We start from the raw sequence: 12,852 nt of genomic DNA on the forward strand, positions 1-12,852 counted from the left end.
ATGTGAACTTTGACTGTGGATAAAGCCAGTTTGAGGTGACTGTGAAACCCCAAGCAAGAATGTTCAGCAGACATTTGGACATATGGGTCTGAAACTGAAGATTCAGGGCAAGAGAGAAAATGTGGATTTGGGGATCAATGGCCTTTAGGTGGATTGCACCTCTCAACATGAATAAAATTTCTGAAAGAGATAGTATAGAGAGAAAAGCAGAGGCCATGGACTGGGGATGGCTGCAATTTAGTGTGCAAATTGCCCAAGTGAGGATGAATTCCTCAAGGGCAAGGAGGAATCCTGTGCCTTCGTTTTACTCTTCCCTGTCTCTGCTGAGTCCATGGAAGATGTGCCATGAAGATTTGCAGTGACATTGATTATAAAAGTATAAGGTCTTTTATGCCGACTTTATAGTTCTGGAATAGGTGAGTTCCTGCTACTCGGGATTTATGTCCTTTCCATTTCTTACTGCCTCCCCCCTTTCCCCACGGTGCTCTTCTCTTATTCCCTCTCTCTGATCCTTCCAGCAGCAATTCGCATATCAGTTCAGAAGTCCAGTTATAGACGACTTGTCTTATAGGTATTTATCTTAAATTAAACGTTTCCATTAGTCAAGATAGTATTTTCGTAAGTAAAAGTGACTTTTTATTTATCTTTCCCAGGTAATCCAAGATTTAAGATTTATCATACTCAGTGAAACTTTTTATGAATAGCATTATATTTATCTTTTTATTTTAAGATATGGGATAATACATTTGTTGAAATAATAAAAACCACACTAAAGTTGCATGCTGCCTAGCTATACTTTACTGTTTCATTAAAGTTGAGAATGTGGTTGAAGTTTGTACCATTGACTCTCTGATCTGATATGTTCTAGGCAAGGTAAAGAATCCTGAGTGGAGCAGAAATGAAATTCCACATAGCTGTGGTGAGGTTTGTAGAAAGAAACAGCCTGGCCAGGACTGCCCACATTCCTGTAACCTGTAAGTTGGAATGCTAATTCCGTTGGGATTGCTGGTGGACATGCTTTGCTGGTGGCTCTAAGTAAACATACCTGGTTAGCATGTAATGGTTTGGGATGAAGGGTGATATGGGACCTCAGTAAATGGTCTCAAATCACCCTGTGCCAGGCACTCTACATCAGTTAACTTGTTGAATCCTTACCACAGCCCAGTAATAGATATTTACCATCTCTGCTTTACAGATGAGGCTCAGAAAGGCCAAGCCTCTTGCCCAGCATCACAGTGGCAGGGCGTGGATGGTGGAGCTAGGGTTTCCAAAGCCAGTGCTGCTTCCATTACATTACACTGCTTGCTTCTAAGAAGAAATGTGACTCATATGTTTTATCCCGCATTGATATCCAGGTCCAAGAGAATGTATGGGAGAACCTTCTGTCTGGGGAAAGACAATTGTTTAGGGTCCCGGTCGGACAGTATTTCCAAGATGTCAAGATGTCAATCTTTTTCTTTCTTTCTTTCTTTTTTTTTTTTTTTTTTTTTGAGACAGGGTCTCGCTTTGTCACCCAGGCTGGAGTGTGAGTGTGGTGGTGTGATCACAGCTCACTGCAACCGCCGCCTCTTGTGCTCAAGCCATCCTCCCACCTCATCCTCCTGAGTAGCTGGGACTACAGGCGTGTGCCACCACGCCTGGCTAATTTTTGTATGTTTTGGTAGAAATGGGGTTTTGCCGTGTTGCCCAGGTTGGTCTCGAACTCCTGGGCTCAAGCAATCTGCTCTCCTCAGCCTCCCAACATGCCAGGATTACTGGTGTGAGCCACCACACCCAGCCATAGGATGTCAGTCTTTTCCCTACAATAAATAGCCAGCTGTAGATTATATCCATAAGCCAGACACGGTGGCTCATGCCTATAATCCCAACACGTTGGGAAGCCAAGGCAGGAGGATTGCTTGAGGCCAGGAGTTCTAGACCAGACTAGGCAACAAAATGAGACCCCGTCTCTACAAAAAAATTTAAAATTAGCCAGCTGTGGTGGCACACACCTGTAGTCCCAGCTACTTGGGAGGCTGAGCAAGGAGGATCATTTGAGTCCAGGAGTTCACGGCTGCAGTGAGCTGTGATTGCACTATTGCACTCCAGCCTGGGCAACAAAGCAAGACCATGTCTCTAAAAATAATAAATAAATAAATAAGTAGACTGTATGCAGTCAGCTTCTAAATACCAAAAAATGCACAGTAATAGAAAAACAGTTGATCAGTTACAAATAAATTTCTACAGGCCTTAACCTCAGACAAAGGTTTAAATCTTAGGTTCAAGTTACTTAAATAGTTATGTAACCTTGGACAAGTTATTAATTTATCTAAGCCTGCATCTGTAAAATAATAATGATAGTAATAATAACACTTATAGGGTTCTATGAAAATTAAATGAATTAGTGCATCTATGCGGCTCGATATAGAGTCTTTCTGGCAAGTGATCAAAAAATGACAATTCTTACTTTTACTACCCAAATCTAAGAGTAAACCAGACATCAGAGTGTTATCTTGGTATTTCTACTGCTTGGAGGAGGGATAATATTGGACCAGGGCCTTGTGATCAAGGCATGGTGGTGGCGCTGGGGAAATGTCAGTGGGGGTAGAGCTGTTTTAAACTGGGCTAGACAGCATGGCCTGTGATCTGCTGGGCAGTCAGATACCTCATTCCCTTTGACTGCTCGCATAGGTCCTTCCTTAGGAAGGAGTTAAGCTATTCTTGCCATTAGTTGTCATTTTCAGTAAATTCAGTAATAAGAAGTTAATCCTGGCTGGGCGCGGTGGCTCATGCCTGTAATCCCAGCACTTTGGGAGGCCAAGGCGGGTGGATCACGAGGCCAGGAGATCGAGACCATCCTGGCTAAGACGGTGCAACCCTGTCTCTACTAAAAATATAAAAAATTAGCCGGGTGTGGTGGTGGGCACCTGTAGTCCCACCTACTGGAGAGGCTGATGCAGGAGAATGGCGTGAACCCGGGAGGCGGAGGTTGCAGTGAGCCGAGATCATGCCACTGCACTCCAGCCTGGGCTACAGAGCAAGACTCCGTCTCAGAGAAAAAAAAAAAAAACTTAATCCTCTGCATGGACTATTTTTCCAAACCCTTCATGACTACCAGAGATTAAAACTGTTGCAGATCAAGTGATCAGCACCATGTCTGAAAGAAAAGAACACCTTAAAACCTGCTCCTGCTCTTTTGTGGCTCTGGAGCTTTCACACTTGACTTGGGAACTTTCTTTTACTTTCAGGACCATAGAAGCCCATTCCCCAGTAGCACTTTTCTGGTCTCCAAGAAAGCTTTGCTTTCTCTCATTTACACTTGTTAGGACTCAAAAGTGACAGAGACAGGGTCTCGCTCTGTTGCCCAGGCTTGAGTGCAGTGGTGCTATCGTAGCTCACTGCACCCTTGAACTCCTGGGCTCAAGCGATCCTCCCACCTCAGCCTCCCAAAGTGCTGAGAGTACAGGCATGAGCCACCATGCCTGGTGTGAACATCAATATTTTTAAAAGCTCTCCAGGCACTTCCAATATATAGCCAGTGTTGTGGACCTCTGGTCTAAAAGTTAAGAAAACCTGAGATTGAGGAGATTGAGTCCAGGCTTCTGAGATATTTGACATAACCTAGAATCACCCACACCTGACAAGCAATGAAAATTGTTTCACCCGAAAGGATTGAGGTATATATAAAATATAACTGTTGAATAATGATACTCATCTTTAAAGAAACATGCTTAAACTTATGTCTCCTATGGGTATTGTCTATCAAAATGAGTCATCTTAGAAGACTAGACACTTGTTCCTGGATTGTTTTCAATGTTTAAACTTTATTTAAGAATTATCAGAGCTTGTTTAGGAGTTTCATAGAAACTAAACATTCCAGCCAGACCACTTTATAAGCACACTAATGTTTTACAGCAAATTCTGTTACCCATCTGATTAATTAGTCTTGGCTCTGATTGGCTTTTGATTCCCAAAGGGTTGTAATTTGCCACCTAGAATATACCCCTCCTACTCCAAAAACAGTTGTCGTAGAAGTTCCCAAAATGTTTTAAGTAGTGGTATTTCTGTACCACTGTGTAATTTGCCAAAGTGTCTGCTTTGAAGAGGGCAGTATATATTTGAATATACAAATTCCGTATTGTAACTTTTTTCTATTGGTCTCTATAATATAGCTCCTAAAATAGCATTTTTCAGAGGGCTAATTCTGACCTATAGCATATCACTCAGCCCAGTTCTTTCCATGACCCCCTTCCCTTTCATTCTCTCCATGTTACTCACTAGCATGCCTCCCCTCATGTCAGCCTTCTTTTCACTGTTCCATTGTTTGCCCAGTGCCTGATTATTACTTCACTAGCTGATAGTATGTCTGTACTTCTTACGGACCAGGTAGATTTGAGTTCTATTACTTTGCTTAGACTCTGATCTTCTACAGGACCCTATTAGCCATTCTGCCTTTTACCTGAGTAGCAAACTATTTTTATCCCCACACACTGCTGTAAGTGGGCCAAGACTGTATTTGAAAATGTCATCTTTGACTCTCAGACCCAAATATAACCAGTATTTTGACTTGGGATTTACTTCTGTGGTTAAATAGTCTGTGGTGATAATGATGTCGATTTTTTGCACATAAAAGTACAGTTGATATCTTTGTTCAAATAGTTTAATCAACTTTAAACAAATACAAAGACATGTCATAGTAGATGTATTTGTTGCCATATTCACAATAAGACCCAGCTGGGACAGCTTTGTTCGGGTTTGGATACATGGCTGTGGTTTATTCAGTGAAACCTTTCTCTTTCAGTCTCTGCCATCCAGGACCCTGCCCACCCTGCCCTGCCTTTATGACAAAAACATGTGAATGTGGACGAACCAGGTAAAGTTAAAATTACACCCTAAAGAAGACCTCAGTTTTCACATGCATGATTGACTTGTGAATTTCTGAAATAAAAGAATAGTAGGTAGATACAAATAAATGGTAGGCATGAATAGTACTTTTTTTTTTTCAGGAGTGAAAGTTTATTAAAAAGCTTTAGAACAGGAAGGAAAGGACAGAAGGAAAGTACAACTTGGAAGAGAGCCAAGTGGGCAACTTGAGAGACCAAATGTGCCATGGATAGTACTTTTCTGTAACTAGTAGTTCCCTGTGCTGCCCATGACCCTATTTTGTAATCTTATAAGTGATTAAGAAGTTATATGCACAATGAGATTGTGAGACTACCCATTATTTCGGGTAAAATACCAAAGTGACAAGGATTTTTTTTTTTTTGAGACGGAGTCTCGGTCTGTCACCCATGCTGGAGTGCAGTGGTGCGATCTCGGCTCACTGCAACCTCTGCTGCCTGGGTTCAAGCAATTCTCCTGCCTCAGCCTCCCAAGTAGCTGGGATTACAGGCGCCTGCCACCGCACCTGGCTAGTTTTTGTATTTTTAGTAGAGATGGGATTTCACCATCTTGGCCAGGCTGGTCTTGAACTATTGACTTCGTGATCCACCCGCCTCGGCCTCCCAAAGTGTTGGGATTACAGGCATGAGCTACCGCGCTCGGTCGGCAAGGATTTTTTTTTTAACCTCTCTAAGTGGGTGACAGAACCAGGAGTTGAACCCAGGCCTAAGGAGGCTGGGACCAGTTTCCTGTGCCTAGCACAGTATCTGGCATCTAAGAGTCTTTTAATGAATATTGTTGAATGAAAGAATAGGTGACTCCAGAGCCCACCCTTGTTCCATTATAATACAAGGTCTCCTACATCATTAGTACAAGGATTACTGATAGCTGTGGAGTGTCTCTGAGGCCCAGTAAGATCTTAAAATGATTTTTGAACCACAGGATGAGATGAATCATGCAGATTTTCGGTGAGGTGCGTTTGTTTAGCCTTTACTGAACTTATGTGGACAGCCATGTGGCCTGAGATTACATGTAAGTGTTTTGACTCAGAAAGGTCAGATCCTGGTTCTGTCACTTACTGGTTGTTGATTCTGGGCAAGTTGCTTGGTCTCACTGAACCTCATTTTTCTTATAAAGTAGAAATAATAGTGTCTACTTCAAGGGGTTACTGTTAGCCATGGTGCTAGGCAGAATGGCAGCATAATAGGCTAGTGTTAGCCATTATGTCAAGTACTGCAAGCTGATCATTTATGTACATAACAGTGACTTTTAAAAACAAAATATGGAGTTGAGATGAGAGTCAGGGATGAAATAAAACTCTTCTTGCAGGAGAGTAGACTCCAAGTGCTTAACCATTACCCTAGAAAGAGACTTGAAGACAATTGTCTAAAAGTACTTTTTGCGGCTGGGCGCAGTGGCCCACGCCTGTAATCCCAGCATTTCGGGAGGCCGAGGTGGGTGGATCACTTGAGGTTAAGAGTTCGAGACCAGGTGGGCCAACATGGTGAAACCCCGTCTCTACTAAAAATACAAAAATTGGCTGGGTGTGGTGACACGTGCCTGTAGCCCCAGCTACTGGGGAGGTTGAGGTAGGAGAATCGCTTGAAACCAGGAGGTGGAGGTTGCAGTGAGCCGAGATGGCTCCACTGCACTCCAGCCTGGGCAACAGAGCAAGACTCTGTCTCAAATAAACAACAACAAAAAAGGACTTTCTTATATCCTTCTCTCAGCAAAATCAGGATGTTTATTAGAACAAAACTAGAATTAGCTTATTTCCCTACCCTGAAGCAAAGTCACATATAGTATGTTCTAAGTGCTGGGTCTCAGGATAATGCCATTGTGCTGTTAGTCTGAGTGTGTCAGATCTGGGTACATGATAGCTGTCCTCCCGTCTGTAAAGTACTGTGGAAGCTCCAGGCAGAGCTAGGACCAGAACCCAGATCTTCTAACTCCTCACCCCAGCATTCTTTCTCCTTACGCATGCTGCTTCATGGAACTCAGAGATGAAATCACATAAAGCAAATACTCAGGAATAGCCTTCAGTTCCTCACCACTCAGAAAATAGGAAAGAAAGACAGGATGGAAAAGAAAAAGAAAAAGGAGGAGAAAGAAGAAAGAGTGGGCCGGGCGTGGTGGCTCAAGCCTGTAATCCCAACACTTTGGGAGCCTGAGGCAGGAGGATCGCTTAAGCCTAGGAGTTTAAGATTAGTCTGGGCAATATAGTGAGACCCTGTCTCTATTTAAAAAAAAAAACAAAAACAAAAACAGAAGAAGAAAAAGAGTGGAGAAAGGGAGAGTAATTGAGAAAATAAGAATTGGAGGAGGGAGACATAGGAAAAAGTGAGGGAAATGAAGTTAGAGAAAGGCTTAGTGGGTTTTGAGGGGAGAGTTAGGGGCCGCAGTGTTAGTTTGGTTGTCCAACAGGAACTTTTACACTGATGCTGTCTTTACATCTATTGTCTTTACAGGCACACAGTTCGCTGTGGTCAGGCTGTCTCAGTCCACTGTTCTAACCCATGTGAGAATATTTTGAACTGTGGTCAGCACCAGTGTGCTGAGCTGTGCCATGGGGGTCAGTGCCAGCCTTGCCAGATCATTTTGAACCAGGGTAAGTGGTGGGCACACCAGCTAGCAATGCTTGTGTTCTTTTCTGGAACCTTATTAATGATTGTCTTGATAAACTTTGATTGGTGTCAGACTTTTAGTCACAAAGACCTTGAGTAGAGAGAACTGGAGATACGATGCTTAGACGGTTTTTATTATTTTACCTGCATACCAGTATAGGTCATTGTCCTATATAATTTTTTTTTTCTTTTTGAGATAAGTCTCACTCTGCCGCCCAGGCTGGAGTGCAGTGGCGTGATCCTAGCTCACTGCAACCTCCACCTCCCAAGTTCAAGCAATTCTCCTGTCTCAGCCTCCCGAGTAGCTGGGATTACAGGTGCCTGCTATCACGCCTTGCTAATTTTTGTGTTTTTAGTAGAGATAGGGTTTCACAATGTTGGCCAGGCTGGTCTTGAACTCCTGACCTCAAGTGATAATGCCTGCCTGGGCCTCCCAAAGTGCTGGGATTACAGGCGTGAGCCACAGTGCCTGGCCTATCTAATTTAAATAGTAGATTTTAAAATGCTGTTTAAAAGTAACTGCTTGAAAAGGACCAGATTATTATGGACCTAGAAAGACCAAAATAATCTTTTTAAAAATGAACTGGCCGGGCATAGTGGCTCATGCCTGTAATCCCAGCACTTTGAGAGGGTGAGGCCGGTGGATCACTCGAGGTCAGCAGATTGAGACCAGCCTGGCCAGCATGGTGAAACCCTGTCTCTACTAAAAATACAAAAATTAACTGGGCGTGGTGGTGGGCGCCTGTAATCCCAGCTATTCGGGAGGCTGAATCAAGAGAATCACTTGAACCCGGGAGGCGGAGGTTGCAGTGAGCAGAGATGGTGCCACTGCACTCTAGCCTGGATGACAGAATGAGGCTCAGTCTAAAATAATAATAATAAAATGAACATATGTGAAATCTAAGAACATATAAAACTAATTTTTCATAATAAAAATTAGAAAATGGTTGCCTAGTGGTGGAAATTGGGGGAAGGGACACAAATTTTCTGGGTTGATAGAAATGTTTGATATCTTGTTTTGGGTGGTGGTCACACAGATGTATACAATTACCAAAAGATATCCGAAACCAATCAAAACTGAATATGTAAAATATTTGTGTTTATTATATGCTAGCTGTACATCAATGGGAAAAAAAGTAGAAAGTATCTACATGAATAGAAAAAAATTTTTTAATTGTGAATATAAGTTTATGTTTTTGATGTTTTCAGTTTTTCTCTTCCTCTCCATTACTGCAATCTAGAAATGGAACAGAAGAATCTAATTTTATAGTTGGGGCGTGTTGGCGGGCGCCGGTAATCCCAGGTACTTGGAGGCTGAGGCAGGAGAATCGCTTGAACCTGGGAGGCGGAGGTTGCAGTGAGCTAAGATCGTGCCATTGCACTCCAGCCTGGGCAACAAGAGCGGAACTCTGTCTCAAAAAAAAAAAAAAAAGGAATCTAGTTTTATTTTCTCTTAGTGCAATGCAATTATCCCCTTTTTGCTCTCCAGAGTGAATATTGTCAGTTACCCAGTCGCTGATTAAACAGCCTGAAAGCTCACTGTATTTTTAGGTAGGCTGTTTAGTCATGATACAACTCTAATCGTCCCAGTTTTTTCTTTTATTGAGCCAAAATCTGCTTCCCTGAAATATACTCTCTCCTTCGTCTGCCTTTCTCTACATTTTATGTTCCTCCTGGGTTGTTCAAAATCAGCTGTCATATATTCTTTCCCCAGCGTTTCCTTTCAGGCCTAACAGCTGTGATTGCTTCATTTCTTCCCTGTGAAACATGCTCAGAGACCACACATCCTCTTAAAAGTGGCTAGATTGGCCTGGGCACGGTAGCTCATGCACTCTGGGAGGCCAGGGCAGGTGGATCACTTGAGCCTAGGAGTTTGAGACCAGCCTGGGCAACATGGCGAAAACCAGTCTCTAACAACAACAAAAAAAAAAAATTAGCCAGACATGGTGGCATGTATCTGTAGTCCTAGCTACTTGGGAGGCTGAGGTGGAAGGATGGCTTGAGCCCAGGAGGCGGAGGTTGCAGTGAGCTGAGATCATGCTACCGCACTCCAGCCTAGGTGACAGTACCCACCTCTGTCTCAAAAAAAAAAAAGTGGCCAGATTGTTCACAACAATGCCAGTCTTTTTGTGGGATCCACGAAAACCAGTATTGTTCGAAACTCGGTGTTCTTTGAGTACATTCTTGAGATTTTTCACTGAGACGGAGGACTGATTAAATGTGTCCTGATTATTTTCCAGACTAAAATTTCTGGTCTGTTCTCTGTGGAATAGAACTTCAAGGCTTCCATCACCTATTGTGAATCCTGACCCTGCCTGTGGGTGCTCCCTCCAGTTTTATCCCAGGCTGAAAATGGGATAATATGTTCCAGCCCCTGTTTTTAATAGTCTCTTCAAGAGAATGAAGAGTTGCCTGTGCCCAGTTTGATTATCCATTATGTCATATGGATCTGTAATTAACAGGAAGTGCAGAAAAGCTCTCTATCCTGGTACTTACCAAGCCTTTTTTTTTTTTTTGGATCTCGTTCTGTCATCCAGGCCAGAGTGCAGATTCTCCTGCCTCAGCCTCCCAAGTAGCTGGCACTACAGATGCACACCACCATGCCTGGCTTCAGCTGTTTTTAGCTCTTGATTCATATTGGGCTTTTACTCAGCTAAATCACCCAAGTCTTTTTTGTACAAATTTCTGTGGATCCCAGTCTCTTCCTCCTTGTTTCTGTTTAGTTGATTTTTCAAACCCAGTTTTGAAGACTTTTTGTTTTTCCACATTAGTTATCTAGCAGAATATTTTGGCCATGTAAATAGTTTATCTTCTTGAATTATAATCTTCTAGGATCCCTTTCAGCCTTATCTAGAGATTAATAAGCATTCTTTTTGGGTCTTTATTCATATGTTGATAAAATACTAAATGGGTTAAGGCTGGCAACAGGGTCCTTTGGTTCCTTAATATTATTTAACCAGCTGTGACTCTACCTAATTCTTCTGTCACCTGCTCATATTTCTGTCTCTCGTGCCTAGGAGAGCTTTTTAGTATTTACTCAGATTTTTTCATCAGGAACTCAATTTTTTTATTGTTACCTGTTCTGACCCTTGATTCTTTTGCTCACAGCTTTCTATTCATTACCTCTGTAAAAAGCCTTTGTTCTGTTTGAGCAGAAACTTAGCAAAGAAAAGCCTACTAGCAAAAGCTTCCAGTTTCCAGGGTTTCTTTACCAGTTCATTGATTCTACAAATATTTATTGTGTTTTCTGAATCTTTATTAATTTATCAAATCAGTCTTTATTAAATGAACAAATGAGTTTTAGAACGGGGGAAAAAATTGCATATAGGCCGGGTGTAGTGGCTCACACCTGTAATCCCAGCACTTTAGGAGGCCAGGATGGGCTGATCACTTGAGCCCAGGAGTTTGAGACCAGCTTGGGCAACATGGCAAAACCCCATCTCTACAAAAAATACAAAAGCTAGCCAGGTGTAGTGGCACGCACCTGTACTCCCAGCTACTTGAGGGGCTGAAGTGAGAACATTGCTTGAGCCCGGGAGTTTGAGGCTGCAGTGAGCTGTGTTCACATGACTGCACTCCAGCCTGGGTGACAAAGTGAGGCCCTGTCTCCAAAAAAAAAAAAAAAAGAAAGAAAGAAAAGAAAAGAAATTGCACATGCACTTACTGGAAGATGAAATGTGTATTTTAAAAATAAAGAGTCCTTGAATCTTAAATTCAGCTAATTAAAAAAAAAAAATCAAGGCAGGCACAGTGGCTCACACCTGTAATCCCAGCACTTTGGGAGGTCGAGGCCGCAGTAAGCTGTGTTCACACCACTGTACTCCAGCTGGGCAACAAAGTGAGATCCTGTCTTTAAAAAAAAAAAAATCTAGAGTCTTAATTATGGCCGGGCGTGGTGGCTCACGCCTGTAGTCCCAGCCCTTTGGGAAGCTGAGGCAGGTGGATCACCTGAGCTCAGGAGTTCAAGACCAGCCTGGCCAACGTGGTGAAACTCCATCTCTCCTAAAAATACAGAAATTAGCTGGGCGTGGTGGCGGGCCCCTATAATCCCAGCTACTTGGGAGGCTGAGGCAAGAGAATTGCATGAACCGGGGAGGTGGAGGTTGCAGTGAGCCAAGATCATGCCATTGCACTCCAGCCTGGGCAAGAGTGAGACTCTGTCTCAAAAAAAAAAAAAAAAAAAAAAAAAAAATCTTCATTATAGTGAAACCTTTTGGTTCTGTTTAATGTACGATTTTATTTTATGAGTATTATTTTTAATACCTTATTAGAAGGTTTCTATTTTATTTTTATTGTATATGTGATTTTAAAAATGTGATGTTTTTATAATACTGCATTTATTCTGATCATTAGATCTTATACTCTCATGCCAATTTTTAAATTTCTTTTTGGCAACGGGGACCTTTTTACAAGTGTTTTATGTAAAACCTGACATAAAGTATGAAACCTGTGCTTCTTGGGTTGAAGTGAGGATGGGAAATCCAGATGTCAACTCCTCCACCACTACTACCAGCTTAGCTTGTCTATCTCCTGTAACATCACCAGAGGACCCGCAGGAGCCTCACAGTGAATGGTGTTCAGCCACGGCCTTATGGACCAGATAGTGTTCTCTTAATTTAGAGGTTGCTTCACTCTGATGCTGTTCTTGGAATGTGCTGCAGAGGCACTATGAGATATTAATAGTTTAACAAGGCTTTTTTAATTTCTTCCTATGGTAAAGCTCTTAGGCGGGTCTTAGAGCTGCTGTATGAACTATACTCATTTCTGCATAGGTCTGATCAGTACTCTATTTGGCCTCCCAGATTACAGGCATGAGCGACTGTGCCAGGCCCGCATTTTGTATTTTCTTATAGATTATTTGTGACATTTTAAGAACCCATACATGTTACTAACGTTTTGTTTTTGAAATTTTCTCTTCAAGTATGCTATTGCGGCAGCACCTCCCGAGATGTGTTATGTGGAACCGATGTAGGAAAGTCTGATGGATTTGGGGATTTCAGCTGTTTAAAGATATGTGGCAAGTAAGGTTTTACGTTTTCTTCAGTTGAACTAAAGCTGCACTTTATGCAACAATTATGTAATAGTGTGTTTTCTTAACAGGGACTTGAAATGCGGTAACCATACATGTTCGCAAGTGTGCCACCCTCAGCCCTGCCAGCAATGCCCACGGCTCCCCCAGCTGGTGCGCTGTTGCCCCTGTGGCCAAACTCCTCTCAGCCAATTGCTAGAACTTGGAAGTAGTAGTCGGAAAACATGCATGGACCCTGTGCCTTCATGTGGAAAAGTGTGCGGCAAGCCTCTGCCTTGTGGTTCCTTAGGTAACTAGTAAGCGTAAAGTTGGCTTTAAAAATATTATTGTAAATGGTTG

At 42.5% G+C, this 12,852-nt stretch overlaps 1 protein-coding gene across 6 annotated transcripts in view; it reads left to right on the forward strand.

Moving 5' to 3' along the window:
* Window positions 1-12,852, forward strand: part of NFX1 (nuclear transcription factor, X-box binding 1) — an 80,642-nt gene that overhangs the window by 15,810 nt on the left and 51,980 nt on the right. For all 6 annotated transcript variants that reach the window (NM_001318758.2, NM_002504.6, NM_147134.4 and 3 more), the window contains exons 5-9: window positions 869-974; window positions 4,781-4,852; window positions 7,329-7,468; window positions 12,406-12,505; window positions 12,585-12,802. In NM_001318758.2, coding sequence (NP_001305687.1) covers window positions 869-974; window positions 4,781-4,852; window positions 7,329-7,468; window positions 12,406-12,505; window positions 12,585-12,802 — 636 coding nt within the window. The remainder of the gene's footprint in view (window positions 1-868; window positions 975-4,780; window positions 4,853-7,328; window positions 7,469-12,405; window positions 12,506-12,584; window positions 12,803-12,852) is intronic.

This window comes from Homo sapiens, chromosome 9 (assembly GCF_000001405.40).
Source record: "Homo sapiens chromosome 9, GRCh38.p14 Primary Assembly".
Taxonomy (NCBI): domain Eukaryota; kingdom Metazoa; phylum Chordata; class Mammalia; order Primates; family Hominidae; genus Homo; species Homo sapiens.